The sequence below is a fragment of the Homo sapiens genome, chromosome 12 (genome assembly GCF_000001405.40).
Source record: "Homo sapiens chromosome 12, GRCh38.p14 Primary Assembly".
Lineage (NCBI taxonomy): Eukaryota > Metazoa > Chordata > Mammalia > Primates > Hominidae > Homo > Homo sapiens.
Window position 1 is genome coordinate 2896777 of NC_000012.12, and position 27993 is coordinate 2924769.

A 27993-nucleotide genomic window follows, 5' to 3' on the forward strand; every position below is an offset into this window, starting at 1 on the left:
CCGAAATTCATTTAGAGCATCTATGAGTTTCATATCTGTCTGTAAAATGAGATTATAGTGCCTACTTTGTCAAGGTTATCGTGAAAATTATCACACATCATATGTGAAAAATAATATATATTTAATATAATTCCTGGCAGGCAGTATTAAATATTCACTAAGTAGAACTGTACTTAAGTGCAACTAGCAGAGTGACAACACATTTTAACAATGTTTCAATAACAATACAATTTTGGACTTTTAAATTTTTTTTTTGGAGTCTCGCTCTGTCGCCTAGGCTGGAGTGCAGTGGCAGGATCTCGGCTCATGGCAACCTCCACCTCCTGGGTTCAAGCAGTTCTCCCTGCCTCAGCCTCCTGAGTAGGTAGGATTACAGGTGCCTGCCACCACCCCTGGCTAATTTTTGTATTTTTAGTAGGGACAGGATTTCACCATGTTGGCCAGGCTGGTCTCGAACCCCTTACCTCAGGTGATGCACCTGCCTCGGCCTCCTAAAGTACTGGGATTACAGGCATGAGCCACTACGCCCAGCCTAAAGATTTTTTTAATACAGGGGAAATTATTAGAAATTTCTGGGTTTCCAACATTCGAAAGCTTTTGAAAGGTGATAAAGTATTATGATGAAATCATTAGTCTTCTCACTGAAGTGAAGATTAAGGTAACACATTCATTTGTAGTATTAAGAAGTATTGTAAAACAAAAATCTTCCCAGGCACAGTGGTTCAGGCCTATAATCCTAGCACTTAGGGAGGCTGAGGCAGGAGGAAGGAGATCACTTGAGGCCAGTAGCTCAAGACCAGCCTGGGCAACATAGTGAGACCCCCTGTCTGTCTGTTGGTCTGTCATGTTCGTTTGTTCTCTCTCTCAAGACATAGGGTCTTGCTGTATTGCCCAGGCTAGTCTTGAACTCGGGCCTCAAGTGATTCTCCCACCTCGGCCTCCCAAAATGCTGGAAAGGCATGAGCCACTCTGCCTGGCCCGAGACCCTGTCTCTTAAAAAAAAAAAAAAAAAAAATTCTAGGCCCAGTGCGGTGGCTCATGCCTGTAATCCCAGCACTTTGGGAGGGCAAGGCAGGCAGATCACCTGAGGTTAGGAGTTAGAGACCAGCCTGGGCAGCATGGTGAAACCCTGTCTCTACTAAAAATACAAAATTAGCCAGGTGTGGTGGCGCATGCCTGTGATCCCAGCTACTTGGGAGGCTGAGGCATGAGAATCACTTGAACATGGGAGGCAGAGGTTATAGTGAGCCAAGATCGCGCCATTGCACTCCAGCCTGGGCAACAAGAGCGGAAACTAGATCTCAAAAAAAAAAAAAAAAAAAGATATAATAGCAGTTGCAGTTTGAGTGCTTACTATGAGCCAAGTTTCATTTAATCTTCACAATAACCTTCTGAGTTAAGTGTCATTGTCCTCACTTTGTAAATTAGGAAACTTGAGGCTTTACTAGGTTAAGTTGTACTGGGAACTGTGCTGTAACCACATAGCACACGTCTCTAAATGGGGACTTACAATTAGTTTGAACTAATATAGGCCAAGCCAGGGGTCAGCAGACCTTTTTAATTATTTTTTTTCAGATGGGGTCTTGCTTTGTTGCCCAAGCTGGTCTTGAACTGCTGGACTTAAGCCATCTTCCCGCCTCAGCCTCCCTAGCAGCGGGGACTATAGGCATGCACCATCACCCCTGGCCAGTAGTCCTTTTCTGCGAAGGTCTTAACCAAACGTTTTTGGTTTTGTGGGCCATACAGTCTCTGTCCCAGTTGCTCATTACTCAGTTTTGCTGTTGTAGCACAAAAGCAGCCATAGATAATAGGTAAGTGAATGAATGTGTCTATTTCAATAAGACTTTATGGACACTGGAATTTGAAGACTTTTTTCTTTTTATTCATTACTTCCTGCACAGTGATAATTTCTTTTGGGCTGGGGGGACAGGTTCTCACTATGTGCCCAGGCTGAGTGCAGTGGTGCAGTCGTAGCCCACAACAGCCTTGAACTCCTGGGTTCAAGCAGTCCTCCTTCCTCTGCCTCCTGAGTAGCTGGGATTACAGGTGTGCACCACCACACCTGGCTAATTTTTAAATTTTTTGTAGAGACGGGTCTCACTATGTTGCCCAGGCTGGTCTCAAACTCCTGGCCTCAAGCAGTCTGCCCACATAGGCATCGCAAAGTGCTGGGATGACAGGCATGAGTCACTGCACCTGGTTGGAATTTGAATTTAATATAATTTTTACATGTCTCAAAATATTATTCTTCAGATATTTTTAACCTTTTAAAAATGTGAAATTCATAGGCTGGGCACAGTGGCTCACGCCTGTAATCCCAGCACTTTGAGAGGCTCATGCGGGTGGGTCACCTGAGGTCAGGAGTTAGAGACCAGCCTGACCAACATGGAGAAACCATGTATCTACTAAAAATACAAAATTAGCCGGGCATGGTGGCCCATGCCTGTAATCCCAGCTACTCGGGAGGCTGAGGCAGGAGAATCGCTTGAACCCAGGAGGCTGAGGTTGTGGTGAGCTGAGATCACGCCATTGCAATCCAGCCTGGGCAACAAGAGCGAAACGACGTCTCAAAAAAAAAAAAAAAAAAACAGCGAAATTCATTCTTAGCTCAAAGGCAGTACAAAAACTGACGGCAGGCCAGATTTGGCCCACACGCTATAGTTTGCAGCCCCTGTGCTAAATCATAAAAGTATTTTTTCCTGGAAGGTCATAGTTATTCATACTGTGAATATTATTTAAGAGAGCATTGAAGATTGTTTTTATATTAAAATGGAACCCGTTACCTTATGGAATAAAACCCAGAATTTAATTTTCAAGATAAAACTTGGAGGCGGGGGCCGGGCGTGGTGGCTCACGCCTGTAATCCCAGCACTTTGGGAGGCCAAGGTGGGCGGATCACGAGGTCAGAAGTTCGAGACCATCCTGGCTAACACAGTGAAACCCTGTCTCTACTAAAAATACAAAAAATTAGCCGGGTGTGGTGGCAGGTGCCTGTAGTCTTAGTTACTCGGGAGGCTGAGGCAGGAGAATGGCATGAACCCAGGAGGCGGAGCTTGCAGTGAGCAGAGCTCATGCCACTGCACTCCAGCCTGGGCGACAGAGCGAGACTCCGTCTCAAAAAAAAAACAAACAAAAAAAAAAACAAAAAAAACTTGGAGACGGCTGTGGTGGCTCACATCTGTAATCCCAGCACTTTGGGAGGTTGAGGCAGGCGCGTCACCTGAGATCACGAGTTCGAGACTAGCCTGGCCAATGTGTTGGAACCCCGTCTCTACTAAAAATACAAAAAAAATAAAAAATTAACCAGGCGTGGTCGCACTCCTGTGTTCCCAGCTACAGGGGAGGCTGAGGCAGGAGAATAGCTTGAACCTGGGAGGAAGAGGTTGTAGTGAGCCGAGATCGCGCCACTGTACTCCAGCCTAGCGACAGAGCAAGACTCTGTCTCAGAAACAAAAACAAAAAAACTTGGATTCTAAAGATACGTTGTTCTGTAGATGGTCTCTGGACCGTACTTTCCTCCTTTCTCCTCAATTTCATTTAGAGCATAAAAGCACTTTCTTAGGCTGTTTGAAGCACTTGGATTGGAAATGTTGCCTGCAGTAACCTGTATAAACATCAATATATCAATAACAGATTATTAGTGCAAAATTTAAATGTCCAAAAACTGAAAGGGAATAATGATCGGTGACTGGGTCTATGAAATTACAAAAGTAAAGCCTAAGGGAGATGGCAAGCTTTCCTATTCTGCTACCCTTGTCAGCTGATGTCTTGGTAGAATTAATAAAGTACTCTTTTTAAACTCAAAAACATCTGTTTTGAATAATACTTTTTTTTTTAACACCCTACCTTTGAGGTAACTATTGTTAATAGTTTGTGTATATCCTTCTGGAATTCTTCTATTCCTGTAGACCTTGCAGATACTTTTTTTTTTTCTACTTGCAGTTATTTTTATTTTTTGTTTTTTGAGAGTGTCTTGCTCTCTCACCCTGGCTGGAGTGTGGCGGTGTGACGATAGCTCAACCTCCTGGGCTCAAGCAATCCTCCCACCTCAGCCTCCCAAGTAGCTGGAACTATAGGCATGCGCAACCAAGCCGAAATACTTTTTTTTTTTTTTTTTTTGTAGAGACGGTTTCACCATGTTGCCCAGGCTGGTCTTGAGCTCCTGGGCTCACGCGATCCTCTTGCCTCTTAAAGTGCTGGGATTACAGGCGTGAGCTACTGTGCCTGGCCATGTTGTGGTTTCAGTACACACTTACCTAATGACTAATCATATTGGATATCTTTTCATGTGCTTATTACCCATTCGGAAAAGTTCTTTTGTGAATATTTTGGGCCCCCTCCCCCCACCTCTTTTTTTTGAGAAAGGGTCTCTGTTCCCCAGGCTGGAGTGCAGTGGCACAATCACGGCTTACTGCAGCCTTGACCTTCCTGACTCAGGCAATCCTCCTGCCTCATTCTCCTCAAGTAGCTGGGACCACCGGAGCGCTCCACCACACCTGGCTAATTTGATTTTTTTTTTCTTTCTTTCTTTCTTTCTTTTTTTTTTTTTTTTGGTAGAGACAGGGCCTCCTTATATTGCCTAGGCTTTTTGCCCAATTTTTATTTTGTTTTATTTTATTTTTTGAGACAGAGTATCACTCTGTTGCCCAGGCTGGAGTGCAGTGGCGTGATCTCAGCTCACTGCAACTTCTGCCTCCCGGGTTCAAGCGATTCTCCTGCCTCAGCCTCTTGAGTAGCCAGGAATACAGGCAAGCACAACCACACCTGGCTTATTTTTTGTATTTTTAGTAGAGATGGGATTTCACCATGTTGGCCAGGCTGGTCTCCAGCTCCTGGCCTCAAGTCATATGCCCGTCTCAGCCTCCCGAAGTGCTGGGATTACAGGTGTGAGCTACCGTGCCTGGCTCCAATTTTTAGTTAGGTTGTTTGTCTTAATCTGTAAGAGTTCTTTAGATTTTAAATATTAATTTTTTGTTGGATATATGTTTCACAAATATTTTCCCTAGTTTGTGGCTTGCCTTCTAATTTTCATAACAGTATCTTTGCAGAACAAAAGTTTTTCATTTTGATGAAGTCCAACTTGCTGATTTTTAAGTATGTGAATTTAAGTAAAAGTCATAATCATACCTACAGTTTTTCTTCTAAAGGATGTTAGTCAATCTTCAAATAAGCATGAATAACTAGATTTAAGAATAAAAAATTGTTTTTTGTAGTTGTTTTCTTGAGGTAAACCTTTTATTTCCTTTATCTTTCCTGTGTAATATCTTTGCAGTAATTCCTTGTCTCACACATACTATGTTTATTTCTGATAGGTTGAGTTGAACCAAATTTTTGTAAATTATATTTATTTTAGCTTCATGCAGCAGCTGATTACTAAATATTTACAATTATGAATTTCTCTAAATTGCCAAGTTGTCCTCTTTATCACTGCACACTGGCACTTGTTGCATTAATGAGAGAAGATAACTATATCTAATTTCTAAGTCTAAAAAACATCAATTTGTGATGTTCTGAAGCAATACTGTAGTCAGTAAAGGAAGCCTTCACTCAAGTTACTATCAGGAAAAGCAACGGGCTGCTCACAGGCTTTATTTTTGCAAGTCTTATCCTGCTGCTTTCCTGGCAAGGATGGTGTTTACTCTCTCCAGTACCACAGAAGGAGCCTGTTTAGCCTCCTGCATCAGTGGCCAAATTGCAGTTGAGTGCTGATTACAGCATCCTTATCTGGCACAGTGTAGGAAGCAGCAAGAAACACTCTTGATTGTTTAGTGGCAATAGATTTTGTGTTACTGGCAGCTCGAAAAATTTACACTTAACAGGCTGAGAGAAGTTGACAGGAACATTGAGAGTCCCGAATAATCATAGATTCTTGAGGGTCATTAGTAACATTATTCAGTGCTTCAAAGTACTTGGCAGTGTGGTCTGTTGGGTATAGCACTAGACTAGCAATGGAGAGTAACGTTTTAAAGTATGCTCAAAGTTTCTCTGTTACTTATCTTTAGCAAATTTCTTCATTGTTCATACCATCTTCATTCCCTAGAAATACTGTGTGAGCATAATTTAGGTGCTAGATTAAAGGGCAATGGGATTTTTTTTTTTTTTTGAGACAGAGTCTCGCGCTGTTGCCCAGGCTAGAGTGTCATGGCGTGATCCCAGCTCACTGCAACCTTCACCTCCTGGGTTCAAGTGATTGTCCTGCCTCAGCCTCCAGAGTAGCTGGGACTACAGGCACGGACCACAATGCCTGGCTAATTTTTGTATTTTTAGTAGAGATGGGGTTTCACCATGTTGGTCAGGCTGGTCTCGAACTCCTGACCTCAAGTGATCTCCCCACGTTAGCCTCCCAAAGTTCTGGAATTACAGGCATAAGCCACTGCACCTGGTAGCAGTGGGATTTTTAAAGGTAGCCAGTCCACAACAATGAAAAAAAAATTACCAAAATGTATATTTTCTTTTTTTCTCTTTGAAAATGTATATTTTCTTTTTTTCTATTTTGAAAAATTTGGCCGGGCACGGTGGCTCATGCCTGTAATCCCAGCACTTTGGGAGGCTGAGGCGGGTGGATCACCTGAGGTCGGGAGTTCAAGTCCAGCCAGACCAACAGGGAGAAACCCCGTCTCCACTAAAAATACAAAATTAGCCAGGCGTGGTGGTGCATGCCTTTAATCCCAGCTACTTGGGAGGCTGAGGCAGGAGAATTGCTTGAACCCGGGAGGCGGAGGTTGCGGCGAGCCAAGATCACGCCACTGCACTGCAGCCTGGGCAACAAGCGCGAGACTCTATCTCAAAAAAAAAAAAAAGAAAAAAGAAAAAAATGAAATTTGCTGAAAAGTTGCAAGAAAGCACAGTTGATAAACCTATGCCCTTCACCTAGATTCATCACTAATATTTTTTATACCTGATTTTAAAAAATCTTTTTAGACTTACAGAAAATTTGCAAAAATATTAGAGAATCCCTCTATACCTTTCACCAAGTTTCCCCTAATGTTAACGTCTTCTTTTTTGTTTGTTTGTTTGTTTTGAGATGAAGCCTAGCTCTGTTGCCCAGGCTGGAGTGCAGTCAGTGGCACGATCTCGGCTCACTGCAACCTCCGCCTCCCGGGTTCAAGCGATTCTGTAGCCTCAGCCTCCTGAGTAGCTGGGATTACAGGCGCCCACCACCACGCCCAGCTAATTTTTGTATCTTTAGCAGAGACGGGGTTTCACTGTGTTGGCCGGGGTGGTCTTGAACTCCTGACCTCGTGATCCGCCCGCCTTGGCCTCCCAAAGTGCTGGGATTACAAGCGTGAGCCACCGTGCCTGGCCTAATGTTAACATCTTATATAACCATAGCCACATTATCAAAATCAGGAAATTAATATAGAATCAGTACTGTTAACTGATTCACAGGCCTTATTTGAATTTTGTCAGTTTTCCCACTAATGTCTCTTTCCTAGTCTAGGTTTTTTTGGTGTCCGTAAATAAAGGTTCACCACATTGTCAGAAAATTCTCTTTCTGTACACTGTGCAGTGTTGTAAGGCCTTGTAGTTATCTTCAGTTAGTTTTTATTTTATCTGTCTGTCTCACCTATATCTATCTGAGATGGAATCTCGCTCTGTTGCTCAGGCTGCTGTGCAGGGTCACAGTCACAGCTCACTGCACCCTTGAACTCTTGGGCTCAAGCACTCCTCCTACCTCAGCCTCCTGAGTAGCTGGGACCACAGGCTCATGGCACCATGCCCAGCAGGTATCTTCAGTTTAGCCTTTACTGGTTGGTAAATGGAGAATAGTTCAAGAGAATGGTGTTCTATGGGCATTCTCCTCTGCCACGCTTGAGTGTTTCTGTGTTTCTTCAAGATGTGTGTTTAGGGTTTCCCCTGTTTGTACCAAGAAAATAGGAAATTTTCTTTGAGAAAAATGAGAGGAAAAAGAATTACTCCACTTTTTTTTTTCCTGTAGAAATTCTTTCTGTTTTGTGTTGATTTATTAACCAGGCTTGGTTATGGTTAGGCTTACTATTCAATAACTAAGTTAAAATGAAGGAAAGAGAATATTAACACAGGCCGGGCATGGTGGCTCATGCCTGTATCCCAGCACTTTGGGAGGCCGAGGTGGTCAGATCATCTTTACCTGAAGTCAGGAGTTTGAGACGAACCTGGCCAACATGGCGAAACCCCGTCTCCACTAAAAATATGGCAGGCACCTGTTATCCCAGCTGCTTGGGAGGCTGACGCAGGAGAATCGCTTGAATCCGGGAGGTGGAGGTTGCAGTGAGCTGAGATCGTGCCACTGCACTCCAGCCTGGACGACAGAGTGAGACTCTGTCTCAAAAAAAAAAGAATATTAAATCAGAAAAATGTAAATTTATTAAGATGATATTCCAGATTAGACTAGAAATTTTAGTTCAGATTGAATATGTCTATAAAATATCTTTTTTTTTTTTCCTTTGAGACAGAGTCTCGCTCTCTTGCCAGGCTGGAGTGCAGTGGCGTGATCTTGGCTCACTGCAACCTCCACCTCCCAGGTTCAAGCAATTCTCTTGCCTAAGCCTCCCGAGTAGCTGGGACAACAGGCATGTACCACCACGCCCAGCTAATTTTTGTATTTTTAGTAGAGACGGGGTTTCACCATGTTGGCCAGGATGGTCTCGATCTCTTGACCTTGGGATCCACCTGCCTCCGCCTCCCAAAGTGTTGGGATTACAGGCATGAGCCACCGCACCCGGCCTTATAAAATGTCTTTATAGGTTATAATTTAACTAAAGGTATAACTTTTTAAATTATAATTTATTTAAACTTAGAACTCGGAGAAAGTGTGACTTTTGATATATAGGAGACTTGTAAATGTTACAGTTACTTAACATGTATTTATTGTCTCTTCTGTTCGGGTCAAAATGCTTTGATTATACCCTATTTATTCAGATTGTCTGTTCAGCTTGCCCAGGCTTGATGAAAGGAATAAGTGGTGTCTAGATGTACTGTCAGAGACACACCTGTTTTTTTCACTATTTGAGGCCTTAAGAGAAACGTTTGAAAACTTTAGTCATATGCCAGAACTTAGCATTTTTGAGGAAGTTTTAGCATGGGTGGGGAATGATTTGTTTTCCCCCATGCCAGAAGTCATCACACCTTTGGTTTAGTGTTGAGAACAGAGTGCAGATTTGTAGCAGCAGCTGTTTGAAAATACTAGTTCATGGTGGAGATTGCAGTGAGCCAAGATCATGCCACTGCACTCTAGCCCAGGCGACAGAGCCAGACCCTGTGTAAAAAAAAAAAATTTTTTTTTTTTTTTTGAGAGAGAGTCTTGCACTGTCACCTGGGCTAGAGTGCAGTGACGCCATCTTGGGTCACTGCAACCTCCGCCTCCCAGGTTCACACGATTCTCCTGCCTCAGTCTCCTAAGTAGCTGGGATTACAGGTGCCCACCACCATACCCGGCTAATTTTTTGTATTTTTAGTACAGATGGGGTTTCACCATGTTGGCCAGACTGCTCTTGAACTCCTGACCTCGTGATCCGCTGGCCTCGGCCTCCAAAAGTGCTGGGAATACAGGCGTGAGCCACTGGCCCTTTCTTTTTTCTTTTTTTTGAGACGGAGTCCCGCTCTGTCATCCTGGCTAGAGTGGTGCAGTGGCGCAATCTTGGCTCACTGAATCCTCCGCCTCCTGGGTTCAAGTGATTCTCCTGCCTCAGCCTCCTGAGTAGCTGGGATTACAGGTGCATGCCGCCATGCCCAGCTAATTTTTTGTATTTTAGTAGAGACGGAGTTTCACCATGTTGGCCAGGCTGGTCTCGAACTTCTGGGCTCAGGCAATCCACCCACCTTGGCCTCCCAAAGTTCTGGGATTACAGGCATGAGCCACTGCGTCTGGCCTAATTTTTTTTAATTAAAAAAAAATGGCTGTAATCTCAGCACTTTTGGAGGCCGAGGTGGGTGGATCACCTGAGGTCAGGAGTTTGAGACCAGCCTGGCCAACATGATGAAACCCCGTCTCTACTAAAAATACAAAAATTAGCCGGGCGTGGTGGCACACGCCTGTAATCCCAGCTGCTGAGGAGGCTGAGGCAGGAGAATCGCTTGAATCTGGGAAGCGGAGGTTGCAGCGAGCCAAGATCACGTCATTGTACTCCAGCCTGGGCAAGAAGAGTGAACCCTTCATCTCAAAATAAGTAAATAAATAAATAATAAATTTTAAAAAATGAAACTACTAGTCCATAACAGTGGACTTTTTTCTCCAAGTTTTCCTTTTGCTATATAATGTCATTTTATGCAGAACTTTAAAAAATTTATACTGATACACGGCCAGGTGCAGTGGCTCACGCCTGTAATCCCAGCACTTTGGGAAGCCGAGGTGGGCAGATCACTTGAGGTCAGGAGTTCAAGACCAGCCTGGCCAACATGGCAAAACCCCATCTCTACTAAAAATACAAAAATTGGCCGGGTACGATGCCTCACACCTGTAATCCCAGCACTTGGGGAGACTGAGGTGGGCATATCACGAGGTCAAGGTCAGGAGATCGAGACCATCCTGTCTGACTGGTGAAACCCCGTCTACTAAAAATACAAAAAATTAGCCCGGTGTAGCAACGTGCACCTATAGTCCCAGGTACTTGGAAAATTGAGGCAGGAGAATCGCTTGAACCTGGGAGGCAGAGGTTGCAGTGAGCCGAGATCGTGCCACTGCACTCCAGCCTGGGCGACAGAGTGAGACTCCGTCTCCAAAAAAAAAAAAAAATACAAAAATTAGCTGGGCATGATGGTGCATGCCTGTAGTTCTAGCTACTCAGGAGGCTGAGGCACGAGAATGGCTTGAACCCGGGAGGCGGAGGTTGCAGTGAGATGAGTTCAAGCCACTGCACTCCAGCTTGGGCAGGAGAGAGAGACTCTGTCTCAAAAAAAAAAAAAATTTTTTATTCTTATACACACTGAACACCTGTAATGTTCTAGCACTCTAGTTTTGTTTTTGTTTTATCTTTTTTTGTCACACTATATTAATGAAGGATTTTTAAATTTGGGATTTAAAAATACATGACTGCAGATAAAAAACATTAAAGAAACATAGGAACATATGTAGGTGAAACATGGGGGGCACAAAGTCAAGGCCAGAGGCTGTTGTATCTGACATTTTTGTTTATTTGTTCCTCTTTGGAGCTGGGAGAAAAGAGATTTATTGAGCACCCGGTGTTTTTTTATTTGTTTTTTAAACATGAAGGTCATGAGTGAATTAATAGAGAGGCATGTCAGAAAATCACAAAGCACCTGCACGTCTGTGTGAGGGTTGTTAAACGTGCCTCCCAAGTGATGAAGAGGAAGAATCTTTGAGACAGCATGCAAATTGAAGTTGCTATGCATTAGTAAGATGCATAGAACCTTCTAAAATGTAGGAATATAGTGGCACACCATTAAGCCATACATAAATGCTTTGGTATATTTGCCCCAAATGTAGCAAAAACCATGTTTCTCTTTGTGGTAATGGAATTTGTCTTCTTAAATAGCACCTTGTAGTTCCAGTTTTTCTGGCGCTAAGTTCCCAGTAAACATTTATCATCCAAATAATTGAGAACCATTTATGCCTTATTTCATACTTCACACTTTCCAAGAATGCCGAGTCACAAAATAAAAGTCTTAAATTAGGAAATTGTCAAAAATAGAAAAGGCTTCAGAGAGAGGTTGTTTTTTTCTGTTTGTTTGTTTTGAGCCATAGTCTCACCCTGTCGCCCAGGCTGGAGTGCAATCGTGTGATCTTGCTCTTCTCCACCTCCCCGGTTCAAGCGATTCTCCTGCCTCAGTTCCTGAATAGCTGGAATTACAGGTGTGGCCACCACACCTGGCTAATTTTTTGTATCTTAGTAGAGACGGTTTCACTATGTTGGACAGGCTGGTCTCGAACTCCTGACCTTGTGATCCACCTGCCTTGACCTCCCAAAGTGCTGGGATTACAGGTGTGAGCCACCGTGTGCCTGGCCCAAAAAGTTTTTAAATGTTCAGAAGGGCTTGGTTTATCAGCTGAAGACTGGTTTTATTCCATTTTTATTGTTTTTTTCCTTCTTCAAGCAAATCTGTCTCTCAGTGGCAATAAATGTCATCTGTTCATCCATACTTACAGTCCTCCTCTCCTTTGATGACTGGCATAGTAAGTGTTATTAATGACAGACTTGAGTAAGTTTAGTGAAATGCCCAGATCTTCAGGAATTCAGTAGGCTCTAGTAAGATGCTATACACAGTGAAATTTTTCCCGTCTTAGAACTAACTCCAAAAAATAAATAAATATATTTGATTTTTCAGATGTAATTTAGATGCCAGAAGGAGACCAGAATTGGGGTCTGTTTCTGCTGTTTAGCCTTACACATGACTCTTCAAGTCTGTTTCTTCATCTTCAAAGTGTAAAAAATAATGGTACCTAGTTCCTAGGGCTGTTTGAAAGAATAAACAGAATAATACCATGTAAAATGCCTACCACTGTGTTCAGAGCATAATGCGTACCTAAGACATTGTTTAAAACAAAAGGAAATCCCTGCATGCGTGGGGTCTGTGTTTTCATCTTTTTCTTGTCCTTGGAGTATTTCAGTCTCCTCAGGTCCTCTGGAATAAGTGTGGTGTTAAGGGTGGGAAGTCCTCCTGTAGCCAGTGTGGGTAGCCTCTAGAAGCTGATGCCTTCTATGAGGCAGAATCGATTGGTTCCAAATAGCCCAAAAGAGTACATACATAAAAAGATGAAATTGACAAGGCGTTTTCTTTTTATATACTTGCTTTATTTTTTTTTTTTTTAACAGTGTCTTCCATGAAGAAATGATGAAGATGCGACAGGCTAAGCTGGATTATCAGGTGAGCAGAGTCTCCTCTTTTGAAATAGGTGGCCAACTATACTGACCGTGATGCTGATGGTCTTGGCTCTGAAGCCTTTGGCAGGGCTATGGAAAGAAGACTGGAAAGGAGAAGGCTCGGGTGGTTACCTGTGAAGCAGTGTCTGGAGTTAGTGGTTGCTGAACCAAGGCTCTGGCTATGGCAAGACCAAAGTGCTTTGAGGATGTCAGCAACAAGACTGGCCTTGGATTTACAATCACCAAAAATTCCTTGGCGCCTTTCTTTCTGAGGAATTAGAAGAGTGTTAACATTGTATTTCTGTGTAGTAATTTGGTTCTGCTACCTTAAGTACCTCTCTACGATGTCATTTCACTTAACTGCAAGATGGTGTTCTTATGCGAAAATGCATATCCGAGCTTGCTGCCGTGCTGCTTTCAAATCTCCATCGCAGGGCCGGGCACAGTGGCTCACGCCTGTCATCCCAGCACTGTGGGAGGCCGAGGCAGGCAGATCACGAGGTCAGGAGATCGAGACCATCCTGACTAACACGGTGAAACCCAGTCTCTACTAAAAAATACAAAAAATTAGCCGGGCATGGTGGCGGGCACCTCTAGTCCCAGCTACTCAGGAGGCTGAGGCAGGAGAATGGCGTGAACCCAGGAGGCGGAGCTTGCAGTGAGGCGGAGCTTGCAGTGAGCAGAGCAAGACTCCGTCTCAAAGAAAAAAAAAAATCCCCATCGCATAGAGAATAATTTTCTTCACAGAGCTGCTGGCACATTTAGTTTGTTTTCTCCATTACACTAAGCTCTGTGAGAACAGAGCCAAGCATGTTTTGGATAACCATTATATCAGAAGTTCTCAGCACAGTGCTGGACATGTAGTAATCCTTCATTAGGTATTTGAACAAAGGAAGGACTAAATGAACGGTTTTGTGTTGTTACATGCTGTGATCATCATATTCAGGTAGCTTAGAACGTATACCCAACATACATTGCATTTATATTCGCTTTTTTCTATGAATCTATTCTAATTCAGCAAATTCTGTAGCTAGGATCGTTAACAGTCAAGATGTCTGGATTCAATAGGTGACTAAAAGTCTCTAAAGTTTTGTCTTCTCTTCTTTATGTGGTTGGTGGAACTAATAATGGGACTTCTAGCCTAATAAATTATTTTAAAGGTGGAATTACTGAAAACTAAGAAACAAACTAATTTACTGTGATCTTGGAGAAAATTCTGTTACACACACACACATATACATACACACTTATCCCTCTGCCCGCAGAGATCACAGTAATTGTGATGAGCCCTTTATTTTCTTCATTCTGTTGCAGAGCAAATTGTATTTAGGGAGAAGTGGGCACAAAAATGTAGATCTTTGATTTATTTTTATTCATTTTTATTCTTAGGCATCCTAGTATCGTAAGGCCCAATTGTACCTACTTTGTTAACATTAGATAAAATCTATGGTTCATCTATGGATCATGTTCTAAGACATCAAACTTTAAATTTTGTATATAGATACATTTTCTGAGTTTTTTTTTTTAAGGTGGCCCTAATATTTTGTAATTGTATTCTTTTCATTGAAAATGCTACATGTGATAATAAATGTTGTAACTTTTGTAAGCCTTTTTGTAGCACAATTTTTTTTAAATTATGTTTTTACATAGGTAATAAAAACATAAGAATTCAAATAATATAAGATAGATGTTTGATGAAAACATCTCTCTCTGCTTGGCTCAGTTCTTTATCAGTGGCTATCACTGACTTTTAATATATCTTCCAGAGATAGTCAGTGAATTTTTTTTTTTTTTGAGACGGAGTCTCACTCTGTCGCCCAGACTGGAGTGCAGTGGCGCAATCTTGCCTCACTGCAAGCTCCAACTCCCGGGTTCACGCCATTCTCCTGCCTCAGCCTCCCAAGTAGCTAGGACTACAGGCGCCTGCCACCACGCCAGGCTAATTTATTTTTTATTTTTTTTTAATTTTTACTAGAGATGGGGTTTCACTGTGTTAGCCAGGATGGTCTCGAACTCCTGACCTCATGATCCGCCCGCCTTAGCCTCCCAAAGTGCTGGGATTACAGGCGTGAGCCACTGCGCCCAGCCTTTTTTTTTTTTTTTTTTTTTTTTTTTTTTTTTTTTTTTTTTTGAGTCAGTGAATTTAGAGACATAAAATTTTATAGGAGTTTTTTTTACATGCCTAGGAGTTTCAAAGGAATATTTTAAAATTAAAAAATCTCTTTGGATCAGATGTATACATTCTGGTGTTAAATAACGTACGAGAAGCTGGCATGGTAGTGTGCACCTGTAGTTCCAGCTGCCTGGGAGGCTGAGGAGGAAGGATCCCTTGACCTCAAGTGTTTTAGTTCAGTCTGGGCAACACAGCAAGACACCACCCTCCATCTCTTAAAAAAAAAAAGTGTATGAGAATGTTGTTAGAGCCATGAAATGCCAATAAGTGCTTAAGAAGGAAGTCACTCAGTAGGGGGTAAGGGAATTTCCACAAATGCAAGCTGAGCTTTCAAATGGTGTATAACAGCAACAAAGGCAGCACCACATAATGAAGAAAACATTGGGCTGGGAATCAGAAGGCTTTGGTCTAGTTCTGGCTCTGCCATTATTCAGCTGTGTGATTTTAGGTAAAGTTCTTAAAGTCAGTTGGCCTCAGTCATTTCATCTGTAGAGTGAAGTTAGACTGGATAAAATAATAGAATGTTAGAAAGAATCTTAAGCGTGTCTAAGTTAGAGCCAAGATGGAGGCATATTGAGGAAGGGCAGGCTACAGCTCAGCCCAGGCATCCCAGGTGGGCAGTATCTTGGTGCGAGCTTCACAGTCCAGAGTAGGCCAGCCTGCCCAAGGGATACAGTGCACACCCATCAGTGACGGTGGCACATCCTAGCAGTTACCCTCAATGGAGGTGGCAGAGGCTGGGGAAGCCCTGCCCAGATGTACATTAGATTAGACTCAGGAATTCTGCTATGGCAGTGTCCCTTTGGTTAAGTGTCACTGGTCATGAGCTCTGTAGGATAAGAAACAGCTAAAAGCAACCAAAGTTAATCAGTCTCCCGAGGATTGGTTTGTATTAGCCAGTCTCGTAAGTGATGAATCTGAATCTGAGAATCACTTTCTAGTGAACTGTGTTCGAGAATTAGCTGGTCATTACATTCCCAGTAGAAATATCTGTGGGAAGTTTGCGATCGGGACATAGCTTGGTATATTCGAAATCAGAGCAGGTAGAGTTTGTAAAATGCTATTTATAGTGACACATTAAAATATGATAGTAGGATTAATTCACCTCTTCTGAAGGGATATACCTACCCAAGGAAGGAGATTCGCATGTGCCCAGGACATTCTCCCTGCCTTAGTGCTAGAGACATAGGGTAGATCTTGTTCTTTCCCTTAACACGTTCTTTTTTTTTTTTTTTCTTCTTTTGAGACAGTCTCCCTCTGTCGCCAGGCTGGAGTGCAGTGGCACGATCTCGGCTCACTGCAACCTCTGCCTCTGTGCCCAGCCAGTTTTTCCACATTCTTACCAACACTTGTTATTGTCTGTCTGTGATTTAGAGCCATTCTAGTGGGTGTGAAGTGGTATCTCATTGTAGTTTTGATTTGCATTACCCTAATGACTAATTATGTTGAGTTTGTGTGTGTGTGTGTGTGTGTATGTGTGTGTGTGTGGTGGCCTTTTATTTTTTTTTATTTTTTTGAGATAGGTTCTCACTCTGTCACCCAGGCTGGAGTGCAGTGATACGGTCATAGCTCACTGAAGTCTTGACCTCCTGGGCTCAAGCGATCCTCCCACCCCAGCCTCCCAAGTAGCTGAGACTACAGGCATGCACGACCACACTTGGCTAATTTTTCTTTTTTCTTTTCTTCTTCCTGTATTTAGAGATGGGATCTTGCAGTGTTGCCCAGGCTGGTCTCAAACTTGTGACTTCAAGTGATCCTCCTTCCTCTGCCTCCCAAAGTGCTAGGATTATAGGCATGAGCCATCATGCCTGGTCAAGTTTTATAGTTTTAGCTTTTACACTTTCCGTGGTTTATTTATTTTTATTTATTTATTTTTTCTGAGATGCAGTATTTCTCTGTCCCCCAGGCTGGAGTGCAGTGACACAATCTCAGCTCACTGCAACCTCCGCCTCCCGGGTTCAAGCAATTCTCCTGCCTCAGCCTCCTGAGTAGCTGGGATTACAGGCGTGCGCCACCACACCTGGCTAATTTTTGTATTTTTAGTAGAGACTGGGTTACACCATATTGGTCAGGCTGATCTCGAACTCCTAACCTCATGATCCGCCTGCCTCGGCCTCCCAAAGTGCTGGGATTACAGGCATGAGCCACTGTGCCCGGCCTCTGTGGTTTACTTCTAAAACTGACGTATAATAATTGTACATATTTATGGGGTACACATGATATTTGATATTTGATACATGCACACAACGTGTAATGATCAAATTATTGTAATGATCATGTTATTTAAGGTATCCATCACCTCAAACATTTGTCATTTCTTTGTGTTGGGAACATTTCAAATCTTCTAGCTATTTTGAAATATACAATAAATAATTCTTTTTTTTTTTTTTTTGAGACGGAGTTTTGCTCTTGTCGCCCAGGCTGGAGTACAATGGCGCAATCTTGGCTCACTGCAACCTCTGCCTCCCAGGTTCAAGCAGTTCTCCTGCCTCAGCCTCCTGAGTAGCTGGGATTATAGGCATGTGCCACCACGCCCAGCTAATTTTGTATTTGTAGTAGAGACAGGGTTTCTCCATGTTGGTTAGGCTGGTCTCGAACTCCCGACCTCAGGTGATCTGCTCGCCTCAGCCTCCCAAAGTGCTGGGATTACAGGCATGAGCTACCACTCCCAGCCAATAAATTATTCTTAACTATAGTCACCCTCTTGTGCTATTGAACACTAGAACATATTTCTTCTGTCTAACTGTATGTTTGAATTAATTGCTGTGTATAGCGTGAAACAGAGATTCAGCTTCATTCAGATATTCAGCTTTCCCAACACCATTTATCGAAATACTTTCCTGTTGAGTATATCTTGCTTTTATTTTTACCAGTTTCACTAGGATACTCTTTCTTGTTTTTGAGGAGAAGTCTTTCTCTGTTGCCCAGGTTGGAGTGTAGTGGCGCAATCTTGGCTCACTGCAACCTCTGCCTCCCAGATTCACGTGATTTTTGTGCCTCAGCCTCCAGAGTAGCTGGGATTAGAGGAGTGCACCACCACGCCTGGCTAATTTTTGTATTTTTCGTAGAGATGGAGTTTCACCATGTTGGCTAGGCTGGTCTTGAACTCCTGGCCTCAAGTGATCCAGCCACCTTGGTCTCCCAAAGTGCTGGGATTACAGGTGTGAGCCACCATACCTGGCAAGATACTCGTTTTCAGGGTATGTGGGCACCTTAGCAAGCTGCAGAATGGATTTTCTTTTCTTTTCTTTTTTTTGAGACAAGAGTGTAGCCCTGTTGCCCAGGCTGGAGTGTAGTGGCATGATCTTGGCTCACTGCAACCTCTGCCTCTCGGGTTCAAGCGATTCTTATGCCTCAGCCTCTCGAGTAGCTAGGACTACAGGCAGACGCCACCATGCCTGGCTAATTTTTTGTATTTTTAGTAGAGACAGGGTTTTGCCATGTTTGTCAGGCTGGTTTCAAACTCCTGGCCTCAAGTGATCCACCCATCTCGGCCTCCCAAAATGCTGGGATTACAGGCGTGAGCCACTGCGCCCAGCCCAGAATGGATTTTCTGATTCTTGCTGTGATATTTCTGACATGGATGCATATTAGGTAGAGTACATTTATTTCGTCTGATGAAAATGGATTAAAGTACAACATAGTTCCTTTGAGCCAAGTTGCTCATCTATTTGTATGATGAGAGGTCATCACTGCACTGAATGATATTTTAAGAAGTCTAGTTTAAAAATTTTAGTCTTACCTTCCTATGATCTTGCTTTGTGGGCGGGGAGATTAAGTTAGTTTTTTTATTTTGTTTTTTTTTTTTGAAACAGAGTCTCGTTCTGTCGCCAGGCTGGAGTGCAGTGGTGCAATCTCAGCTCAGGCTCACTGCAACCTCCACCTCCCAGGTTCAAGCGATTCTCCTCCCTCAGCCTTCTGAGTAGCTGGGACTACAGGCGCATGCCTCCACGCCCAGCTAATTTTTTTAATTTTTAGTAGAGATGGGATTTCACCATGTTGGCCAGGATGGTTTCAATCCTTTGACCTCGTGATCTGCCCGCCTCAGCCTCCCAAAGTGCTGCGATTACAGGCGTGAGCCACCGTGCCCGGCCGAGATTTTTAAACAAACTGATAGACTGCAGACAACTAGCCTGATGCTGGTTGTACTCTGTGGTTGGTCAGTCTGTTGGAAAACTGTCATAGTGTAACCTTAGCCCATCACCTCTAGGGTGACTCCTTGTCTAGGAAAATTGAGAATTAGTTAAACTATCATTAATTTAAATGAAGTTTTATTTATTTTGAGATGGTTGCTCTGTTGCCCAGGCTGGAGTGCAATGGCGCGATCTTGGCTCACTGCAACCTTTGCCTCCCGGGTTCAAGCAATTCTCCTGCCTCAGCCTCCCAAGTAGCTGGATTTACAGGCTTGTGCCACCACATCCAGCTAATTTTTGCATTTTTAGTAGAGATGGGGTTTCCGGCATGTTGGCCTCGAATTCCTGACCTCAAGAGATCGGCCCACCTCAGCCTCCCAAAGTGCTGGGATTACAGGCATGAGCCACTGCGCCGGTCAGAGCTTTATTATTTTATTGGATAAAGTTATTTCATGGAAATTTCCACCTATCTGATCTCCTTTAATTTCTTACTGTTTATTTTGACATCACCATTCAATATTTTAGCAGGATAGTAAGACATACCACTAAATTCTTGGGAAGATAGATTCTTTTACAGTTCAATTCCCAAGATAATTAGGAAATTTAAAAGTGATTAAGTTTTAGTTTATATGACACTTAAAATCACGAAGGCAGTGTGTTTTAATTGCATTTAGGGCATCTAACCATCAGCTCTGGCTTTCTTCCTGGCTCCCTGACTTACTCTATCTTGGTAATGAGTCCTTCATTGATGTAGCCTCGTTTAAAGCACTTTTAGGTTTTCAGGGAAGTAAAATATAGATGGAATAGGAATTGACATTGTTACATTCAAACACAAGTAGCACTTCTCTCCTCCCCCATCCAAACTGCATGACGGTTTTCACCAAGATGGCAGCTTGCACATATATGTTTAATGGTATTTTTCTTATTTGTAAACTTGGACAGTAGTAAGATCATTCAATACTGAGGTATAGTAGCTGTGGCCCTGATTACAGTTTGAGTCTACAGTTGTTTTTTTCTTAAGTCATTGGTCTAAATGAGTTTGATTTGTCTGTAAGTAGATAGAGAGAGGCTTCCCCAGATACCTTGGCAGGAACACTGTGGTCAGGGGTCTAGTCTCCCCTTAACAAGTGAGAGCTTAGTTTGTCAGTGAACTGGATATAACCAGGTCCTTTGGCACAAATTCACGCTAGTTAAACCCACACCAGTAAGTTTTAAAACCAGAACCCCAAGTTATTAATTTATAAAGGGAGCTCTACTCTTTCAGTGTGTATTCATGTCTACTGTTCATAATACTCTTTTCCTGGGAATACGATACCTAAGAAGTTAAACTTCAAATTAGAAGGCTTATTGGTGAGCAAGGAATCAGAGGGAATGAGGTCAGGAGTTTGAGACCAGCCTGGTCAACATGGTGAAACTCCATCTCTACTAAAAGTTTAAAAATCAGCTGGGCATGGTGGGGTGCACCTGTAATCCCCGCTACTCGGGAGGCTGAGGCAGGAAAATTGCATGAACCCGTGAGGCAGAGGTTGCAGTGAGCCGAGATCGCACCACTGCACTCCAGCCTGGGCAACACAGCGAGACTCTGTCTCAAAAAAAAAAAAAGATACTTCTCTTTCTTGGACAAACCTGATAACCCTATCAAATTCTAGCTCTTTGGCCTCCCTTTTCTAGACCACAGCAGAAAACTCCTTTTCTATAGAAAATATTTTCCTTGGCCAGGTACGGTGGCTCATGCCTGTAATCCCAGCACTTTAGGAGGCCAAGGCGGGCGGATCATGAGGTCAGGAGATCGAGACCATCCTGGCCAACACGGTGAAACCTCATCTTTACTAAAAATACAAAAAATTAGCCGGGCGCGGTGCCGGACGCCTGTAGTCCCAGCTCCTCGGGAGGCTGAGGCAGGAGAATGGCGTGAACCCGGGAGGCGGAGCTTGCAGTGAGCCGAGATCGCGCCACTGCACTCCAGCCTGTGTGACAGTGCAAGACTCTGTCTCAAAAAAAAAAGAAAATATTTTCCTTGCATGTGAACCCCATCTCTACTAAAAATACAAAAAAAATTAGCTGGGTGTGGTGGCAGGTGCCTGTTATCCTAGCTACTCCGGAGGCTGAGTCAGGAGAATTGCTTGAACCCAGGAGGCAGAGATTGCAAGTGAGTTGAGGTTGCACCATTGCACTCCAGCCTGGGCAGCAAGAGTGAAACTCCGTCTCAAAAAATAGCTACAGCATTCATTTTTGTTTTTGTTTTTGTTTTGAGACAGTCTCGCTCTGTCGCCCAGGCTGGAGTGTAGTGGTCCAATCTCGGCTCACGGCAACCTCTGCCTCCCAGGTTCAAGTGATTCTCCTGCCTCAGCCTCCCAAGTAGCCGGGATTACAGGCGCTTGCCACCACGCCTGGCTAATTTTATTTTTTAATAGAGACGGGGTTTCACCATGTTGGCCCGGCTGGTCTCAAACTCCTGACCTCAGGTAATCCGCCCACCTCGACCTCCCAAACTGCTGGGATTACAGGCGTGAGCCACCGCGCCCAGCCTACAGTATGTGATTTTGTTTCATCGATCATTTCACAGACTATGTATGAGATGAAATAGCTGTGGCCACATAGATAAGATATGGCAGTTTCTTATGATTTCAGTACTTCATATTTACCACCTTTTCAGGCAAGTTACTTTTTTTTTTGAAATGGAGTTTTGCTGTTGTTGCACAGGCTGGAGTGCAGGGGCATAATCTCAGCTCGCCGCAACCTCCGCCTCCCAGGCTCAAGCGATTCTCCCGCCTCAGCCTCCGAGTAGCTGGGATTACAGGCATGCGCCGCCACATCCGGCTAATTTTTGTGTTTTTAGTAGAGACGGGGTTTCTCCATGTTGGTCAGGCTGGCTTTGAACTCCCGACCTCAGGTGATCCGTCCGCCTCAGCCTCCCAAAGTGCTGGGATTACAGGCATGAGCCACTGTGCCCGGCCAGCAAGTTACTTTTTATCCATTATACAAGACCTCTTGGTTGCTAGAAGAATTTTTTTTTTTTTTGAGACAGAGTCTCGAGTCTTGCTCTGTCACCCAGGCTGGAGTGTAGTGGCATGATCTCAGCTCACCACAACCTCTACCTCCTGGGTTCAAGTGATTCTCCTGCCTCAGCCTCCTGAGTAGCTGGGATTACAGGCATGCGCCATGACGCAGGCCAATTTTTGTATTTTTCATAGAGACGGGGTTTCACCATGTTGGCCAGGGTGGTCTCAAACTCCTGACCTCAAGTGATCCACCTGACTCTGCCTCCCAAAGTGTTGGGATTACAGGCGTGAGCCACTGCGCCCGGCTGCTAGAAGAATCTCAGTGGCCAATTCTGTTTGGTGGAAGTCATTATAGCCTCCTGTGTATTTAGTGTTCCTGGGTTAATGTCCTTCTATTCATGGTAATTCATGAAATCTCAAAATAATCTCCAAACAACTTAGTCCTTGCTCTAACACCTATTCATTCTTGATGGTATATTCTGTATTGGCACGTTATCTTAACTCCCCAATCTTTTCCCTCTATATGCAAGCTATTGAATTAATCAGTGTGCTCTCATCAGCCCAGTTCAGGAAAAACACACTTCCTTTTTTGATAGTCTCACCCCTTGGAGTGACTCTTCTTCCTGGAGGCACTTTTCTAAAACAGTATCGATGGAAAAAAGTAAACAGATGGCTTCTTTTGCCTGAAAAACAGTAGTAAGTGGGTTATAATATATTTGTTTTTTAATCATGTCTTTATTTTTTAGCATGGGGCTTAACATTTTTCCTACTCTGAGTTATCCCAGATCAATAATAATTTCTATATATTATAAACCCTTATTTGCCAAAAGGTACTAGTACTATGTGCTAGTACCTTCCTTTCCATTTCATTGGTTTTTTTTTCTCATAGTCTGTCATGCTTGTTTCCTGACTTTTCTTGCTACCATAGTCTTTATCTTGCTTTTATTCATAGAGTTGACTGCTTTCTATTTGATATGTTCCAACTGCCATTTTTTTCTTCTCACCCTTGATCCAAATTTGATTTCTAATTATATAAGATAAACAAGAATGCCAAACTTACTGCCCTTTGACTAATTAGAACATGGAAATAATTTGAGTTTTAGAGAATAATAAAGTTTTTTTCTTCCATTTACAAAAGTAAGAAAACTTAAAAAAAAAAAAAGACTAGAAAAGAGAAAACAATCATGCCATAGTCTGCCACCTGAAGAAACCACCCTTGCTGTGTTCCTCCATCTGTCCTCCGTGCATGTGTGTTTGTATGTTTTGAGCTTGTGGTCACATTTGATAATGCTATGATGATTCCCATACATCTTTAGTAGACTTGGTTACAAATGCACTGTGTGGGACAGGTGCAGTGGCTCACGCCTGTAATCCCAACACTTTGGGAGGCCAAGGCAAGCAGACTGCTTGAGCTCAGGAGTTTGAGACCAGCCTGGGCAATGTCGGGAAACCCTGTCTCTACAAAAATACAAAAAATAGCTGGGCATGGTAGCACACACCTGTAGTCCCAGCTCTTCAGGAGGCTGAGGCAGAAGGATTGGGCGTGCCTTGGAGGTCAAGGCTGCAGTGAGCTGTGATGGTGCCACTGCACTCAGCCTGGGCAACTGAGTGAGACTCTGTCTCAAAAAAAAGAAAAAAAAAAGCATCATCTGATTTTAAATAGATCTTTATAGGTGTTAGGTGTTCAAAAGTATTTGTTAAATGAAATGATTGAATCCTTACTCCTCTCTGTGCCTCAGTTTTCCCATTTCTTAAATGGGGAAAAAATAATTTACAAGATGTTTTGTGAGGATCAGTGAAAAACAAACTGGGCATGTTGGAAATGGTTAGGTCATGTCAAAACTCTCCTTGCTGGCTGTCATATCGCTTTTTTCCCAGAGGCTACTACTTGAGAAGAGGCAAAGGAAAAAGCGCCTTGAGCCATTTATGGTGCAGCCCAATCCAGAAGCCAGGCTACGTCGGGCAAAGCCAAGGGCCAGTGATGAGCAGACTCCCTTGGTGAACTGTCATACTCCCCACAGCAATGTCATCTTACATGGTGTGTATTTAGGCAGCATCACTTCCTAGTGGGGTACAATTTTCACAAACCTAGAAGGCACGAGGATTGTCAGACGGACCAAAGGGACAATATTATTAGCACCATTACTAGGTACCTTCATAAATCTTTATAATCACATTTGGGGTCTTTGAGGAGAATAAAAGCAATGATATAATCAGTGGAAGATGCCTTAAGGTTTGCGTCCATTTTAGAACTGTTGTTTTCTTTTTTTTGAGACGGAGTTTTGCTTTTGTCGCCCAGGCTGGAGTGCAATGGCGCGATCTTGGCTCACTGCCAACCTCCTCCTCCCAGGTTCAAGTGATTCTCCTGCCTCAACTTCCCGAGTAGCTGGGTTTACAGGCGCCTGCCACCATGCCCGGCTAATTTTTTTATACTTTTAGTAGAGACGGGGTTTTACTATGTTGGCCAGGCTTGTCTCGAACTCCTGACCCAGGTGATCCACCCGCCTTGGCCTCCCAAAGTGCTGGGATTACAGGCTTGAGCCACCATGCCCGGCAAGAACTGTTGTTTTCTAGATGCCAGATGAATGAGTTTAGAATGACCTATTTGAGGAGCTCTTGATTGTTAAATCGTGGCAGAGGTGAATCATGAAGCCGGGAATAGGTAGAGAGCGTCCATTCTTCCAACAGATAGTTGAAAGGATCATCTGAGATGGGGAGGGGCGGAGGAAGAATAAGATTGTAAGTGCCTCTAAATCAAGCCACTGGAGCTATTGGCTTGTACAGGATCTGTACTATGGAGGACCTACTTTGTTTTCTTGGTCTCATTCTTAAGTTTCTGAAGTACATATTACTTCAGTTACTGAAGTACAAGTACATATGACTTTAGTAACAGAGCATGTTAATAAAATGAACACCAGGCTGGGCGTGGTGGCTTATACCTGTGATCCCAGCACTTTGGGAGGCCAGAAAGGCAGATCACTTAAGGCCAGGTGTTTGAGACTAGCCTGGGCAACATAACAAGACTCCATCTCTACAAAAAAATTAACAATTAGCCAGGTGTAGTAGCACACACCTGTAGTCCCAGCTACTCGGGGGACTGAAGTGGGAGGATCGTTTGAGCCTAGGAAGTCGAGGCTACAGTGAGCTGTGATTACACCACTGCTCTCCAGCCTGGGTGACAGAGTGAGATCCTGTCTCAGAAAAAAAGAACACCAGTTCTGACCTTCTCTCTTAACAAATGTTCTTATGGATGTTAAGAAAGGAGGGCAGATAAAATGATTTGGTAGTTCTTAATTCTGATCACATATGCCAAATCTACCCAACTAGTGAATAATACTTTGCTCCTTTTTTAAAATTCATTTTATTTTGGCCCTTAGGTATTGATGGTCCAGCTGCTGTCCTGAAACCAGACGAAGTTCATGCTCCATCAGTAAGCTCCTCTGTTGTGGAAGAAGATGCTGAAAACACCGTGGATACTGCTTCCAAGCCAGGACTTCAGGAGCGTCTCCAAAAGCATGGTGAGGACTGGTAATGATTTTAAGGCAATTTGTCTCCTTACTCAATTGTAATCTTTTCCTTTCTTTTCATTGTGGGTAACAATCTACATGACTGAAAATGACTCATGGCTTAGGGCCTCACAGAGGTGACAGTGTTTAGCATCTTTTACATCTGAATGTTGGTAATTGTCAGCAATGGTAGTATTTATACTGTTGCCTGAGAAAAAGAAGATAATTAAATATAAAATACTAGCTGCCATAGATGGCCATAGATGACTGTTTGTTTCTTTTTGACTATTTTCAGTTCCCACCCTCTTCTTCTGACAGAGTTGTCACTCAACCCCTCTACTCCACCTCCATTTCATAGTTGGTGATGATTGATAGCCTTTCTTCTAGTTGGAGCTCTCATTTCCATAAATATTCCCATACATTTCAAAGGTCCCTTGTAGTCTTCTTTCCTTTTTAGAAAAATAATTTTTTTTTTTTTTTTGAGACAAAGTCTCACTCTGTCGCGCTGGCTGGAGTGCAGTGACGCGATCTCGGCTCACTGCAAGCTCCGCCTCCCGGGTTCACGCCATTCTCCTGCCTCAGCCTCCTGAGTAGCTGGGACTACAGGCGCCCGCCACCACGCCTGGCTAATTTTTTGTATTTTTTTAGTAGAGACGGGGTTTCACGGTGTTAGCCAGGATGGTATCAATCTCCTGACCTGGTGATCCGCCCGCCTCGGCCTCCCAAAGTGCTAGCTAGGATTATAGGCGTGAGCCACCACGCCCAGCCGAAAAATAATTTTATAATGAGAAGGGATTAAGCATCCCCTTTGCAGATGAGAAAACTGAAGCCCAATAATGAATATGTATTGGGTACCTACTTTGCATTAGGCAAACATTGCTAGGTCCTGGCATATATGAATCAGGAGATTCTACCACGGAATGGCATAATAAATGAACGTTTAAACAAATTTGTATATTCACTTATTTAGAAAGTATGTTTTGGCCAGGCTTAGTGGCTCACGCCTATAATTCCAGCACTTTGGGAGGCCAAGGTGGGTGGATCACCTGAAGGTCTAGAGTTTGAGACCAGCACATGGTGAAACCCTTCTCTACTAAAAATATAAAAAAAGTAGCCAAGCATGGTGGTGGGTGCCTATTAATCCCAGCTACTCTGGAGGCTGAGGCAGGAGAATTGCTTGAACTTGGGAGGCAGAGGTTGCAGTGAGCCAAGATTGCACCATTGCACTCCAGCCTGGGCAACAAGAGTGAAACTTCTCAAAAAAAAAAAAAAAGAAAAGAAAAAGAAAGTATGTTTTGAGTCCAGGCATGGTGGCTCATGCCTATAATCCTAACACTCTGGGAGGCTGAGGCGGGCAGATCACTTGAGTCCAAGGGTTCAAGACCAGCCTGGGCAACATGGAGAAACCTTGTCTCTACAAAAAATGCAAAAAAAAAAAAATTGTCTGGGTGCAGTGGCGCACACCTGTAGTCCCAGCTACTTGGGGGGCTGAGGCAGGAGGATGGCTTGAGCCTGGGAAGTGGAGGTTGCACTAAGCTTGCGATTGCACCACTGCACTCCAGCCTGGGTTACAGAGCAGGACCCCGTCTCAACAACAACAACAACAGAAGTAAAGTAAGAAAATATGTTTGAGTACATACCATATCTGAGGCAACATTCTAGGTACTTAGGATACATGAGTAAGCATGGTTCCTGCCCTCATGGAGCGCTTATTCTAATTGAAGCTTCATGCACTTAAATAGGCTAGAGCTAGAAAATCAAGGTGCTGAGAGAGCCTGACGCCTCACTCCACTTGGACACTTTCCCAGAGAAAGTGATATTTGAGCTAGTGCCTGACTCAGGAAGAGGTGCTGGCCAGTTCAGAATGGCAGCAGCTCAGGGCGTGTGGTCATAGGGTAGGAAGGGGGATGTAGAGAGATGAGCCAGGAGAGGGAAGTGGGCTCTAATTATATGGGACCTAATAGACCATGTCAGGAATTGGGACTTTATCTAAGGAGTAATAGAAGGCTGGACATGGTGGCTCACATGTGTAATCCCAGCACTTTAAGAGGCTGAGGTGGGAGTATTGCTTGAAGTTAGGTGTTCAGGACCAGCCAGGGCAACATAGCAAGACCCAGTCTCTAACAAAAAAAAATTTTTAATTAGCTGGGTGTGGTGGTACACACTGGTAGTCCCAGCTACTTGAGAGGTTGTGCTAGGAGGATTGCTCGAGCCCAGGTTATTGAGGATGCAGTGAGCTATGATCATGCCACAGCACTCCAGCCTGGGTGACAGAATGAAACCATGTCTTTAAAAATTAAAAAAAAAAAAAAATTGGGTTGGGTGGAGTGGCTCATGCCTATAACCCCAGCACTTTGGGAGGCTGAGGTGGGAGGATTG

General features: G+C 43.5%; 1 protein-coding gene across 2 annotated transcripts in view, besides 2 other annotated features; it reads left to right on the top strand.

The window, feature by feature from the left end:
• TULP3 (TUB like protein 3) overlaps positions 1-27993 on the top strand; it is a 50248-nt gene that overhangs the window by 5886 nt on the left and 16369 nt on the right. For both annotated transcript variants that reach the window (NM_003324.5, NM_001160408.2), the window contains exons 2-4: positions 12753-12804; positions 23987-24146; positions 25486-25626. In NM_003324.5, the coding sequence (NP_003315.2) occupies positions 12753-12804; positions 23987-24146; positions 25486-25626 (353 nt within the window). The remainder of the gene's footprint in view (positions 1-12752; positions 12805-23986; positions 24147-25485; positions 25627-27993) is intronic.
• Positions 22467-22761: a silencer, noted in NCBI's record as "tiled region #7040; HepG2 Repressive non-DNase unmatched - State 15:Elon". NCBI's record gives its function as "represses a minimal TATA promoter and a strong SV40 promoter by Sharpr-MPRA in HepG2 cells {active_cell/tissue: HepG2}" and the evidence as "EXISTENCE:reporter gene assay evidence [ECO:0000049][PMID:27701403]".
• Positions 26197-26703: an enhancer, noted in NCBI's record as "H3K4me1 hESC enhancer chr12:3032139-3032645 (GRCh37/hg19 assembly coordinates)". NCBI's record gives its function as "activates a minimal SCP1, AML or CMV promoter by ChIP-STARR-seq in naive H9 embryonic stem cells {active_cell/tissue: H9 hESC(naive)}" and the evidence as "EXISTENCE:reporter gene assay evidence [ECO:0000049][PMID:30033119]".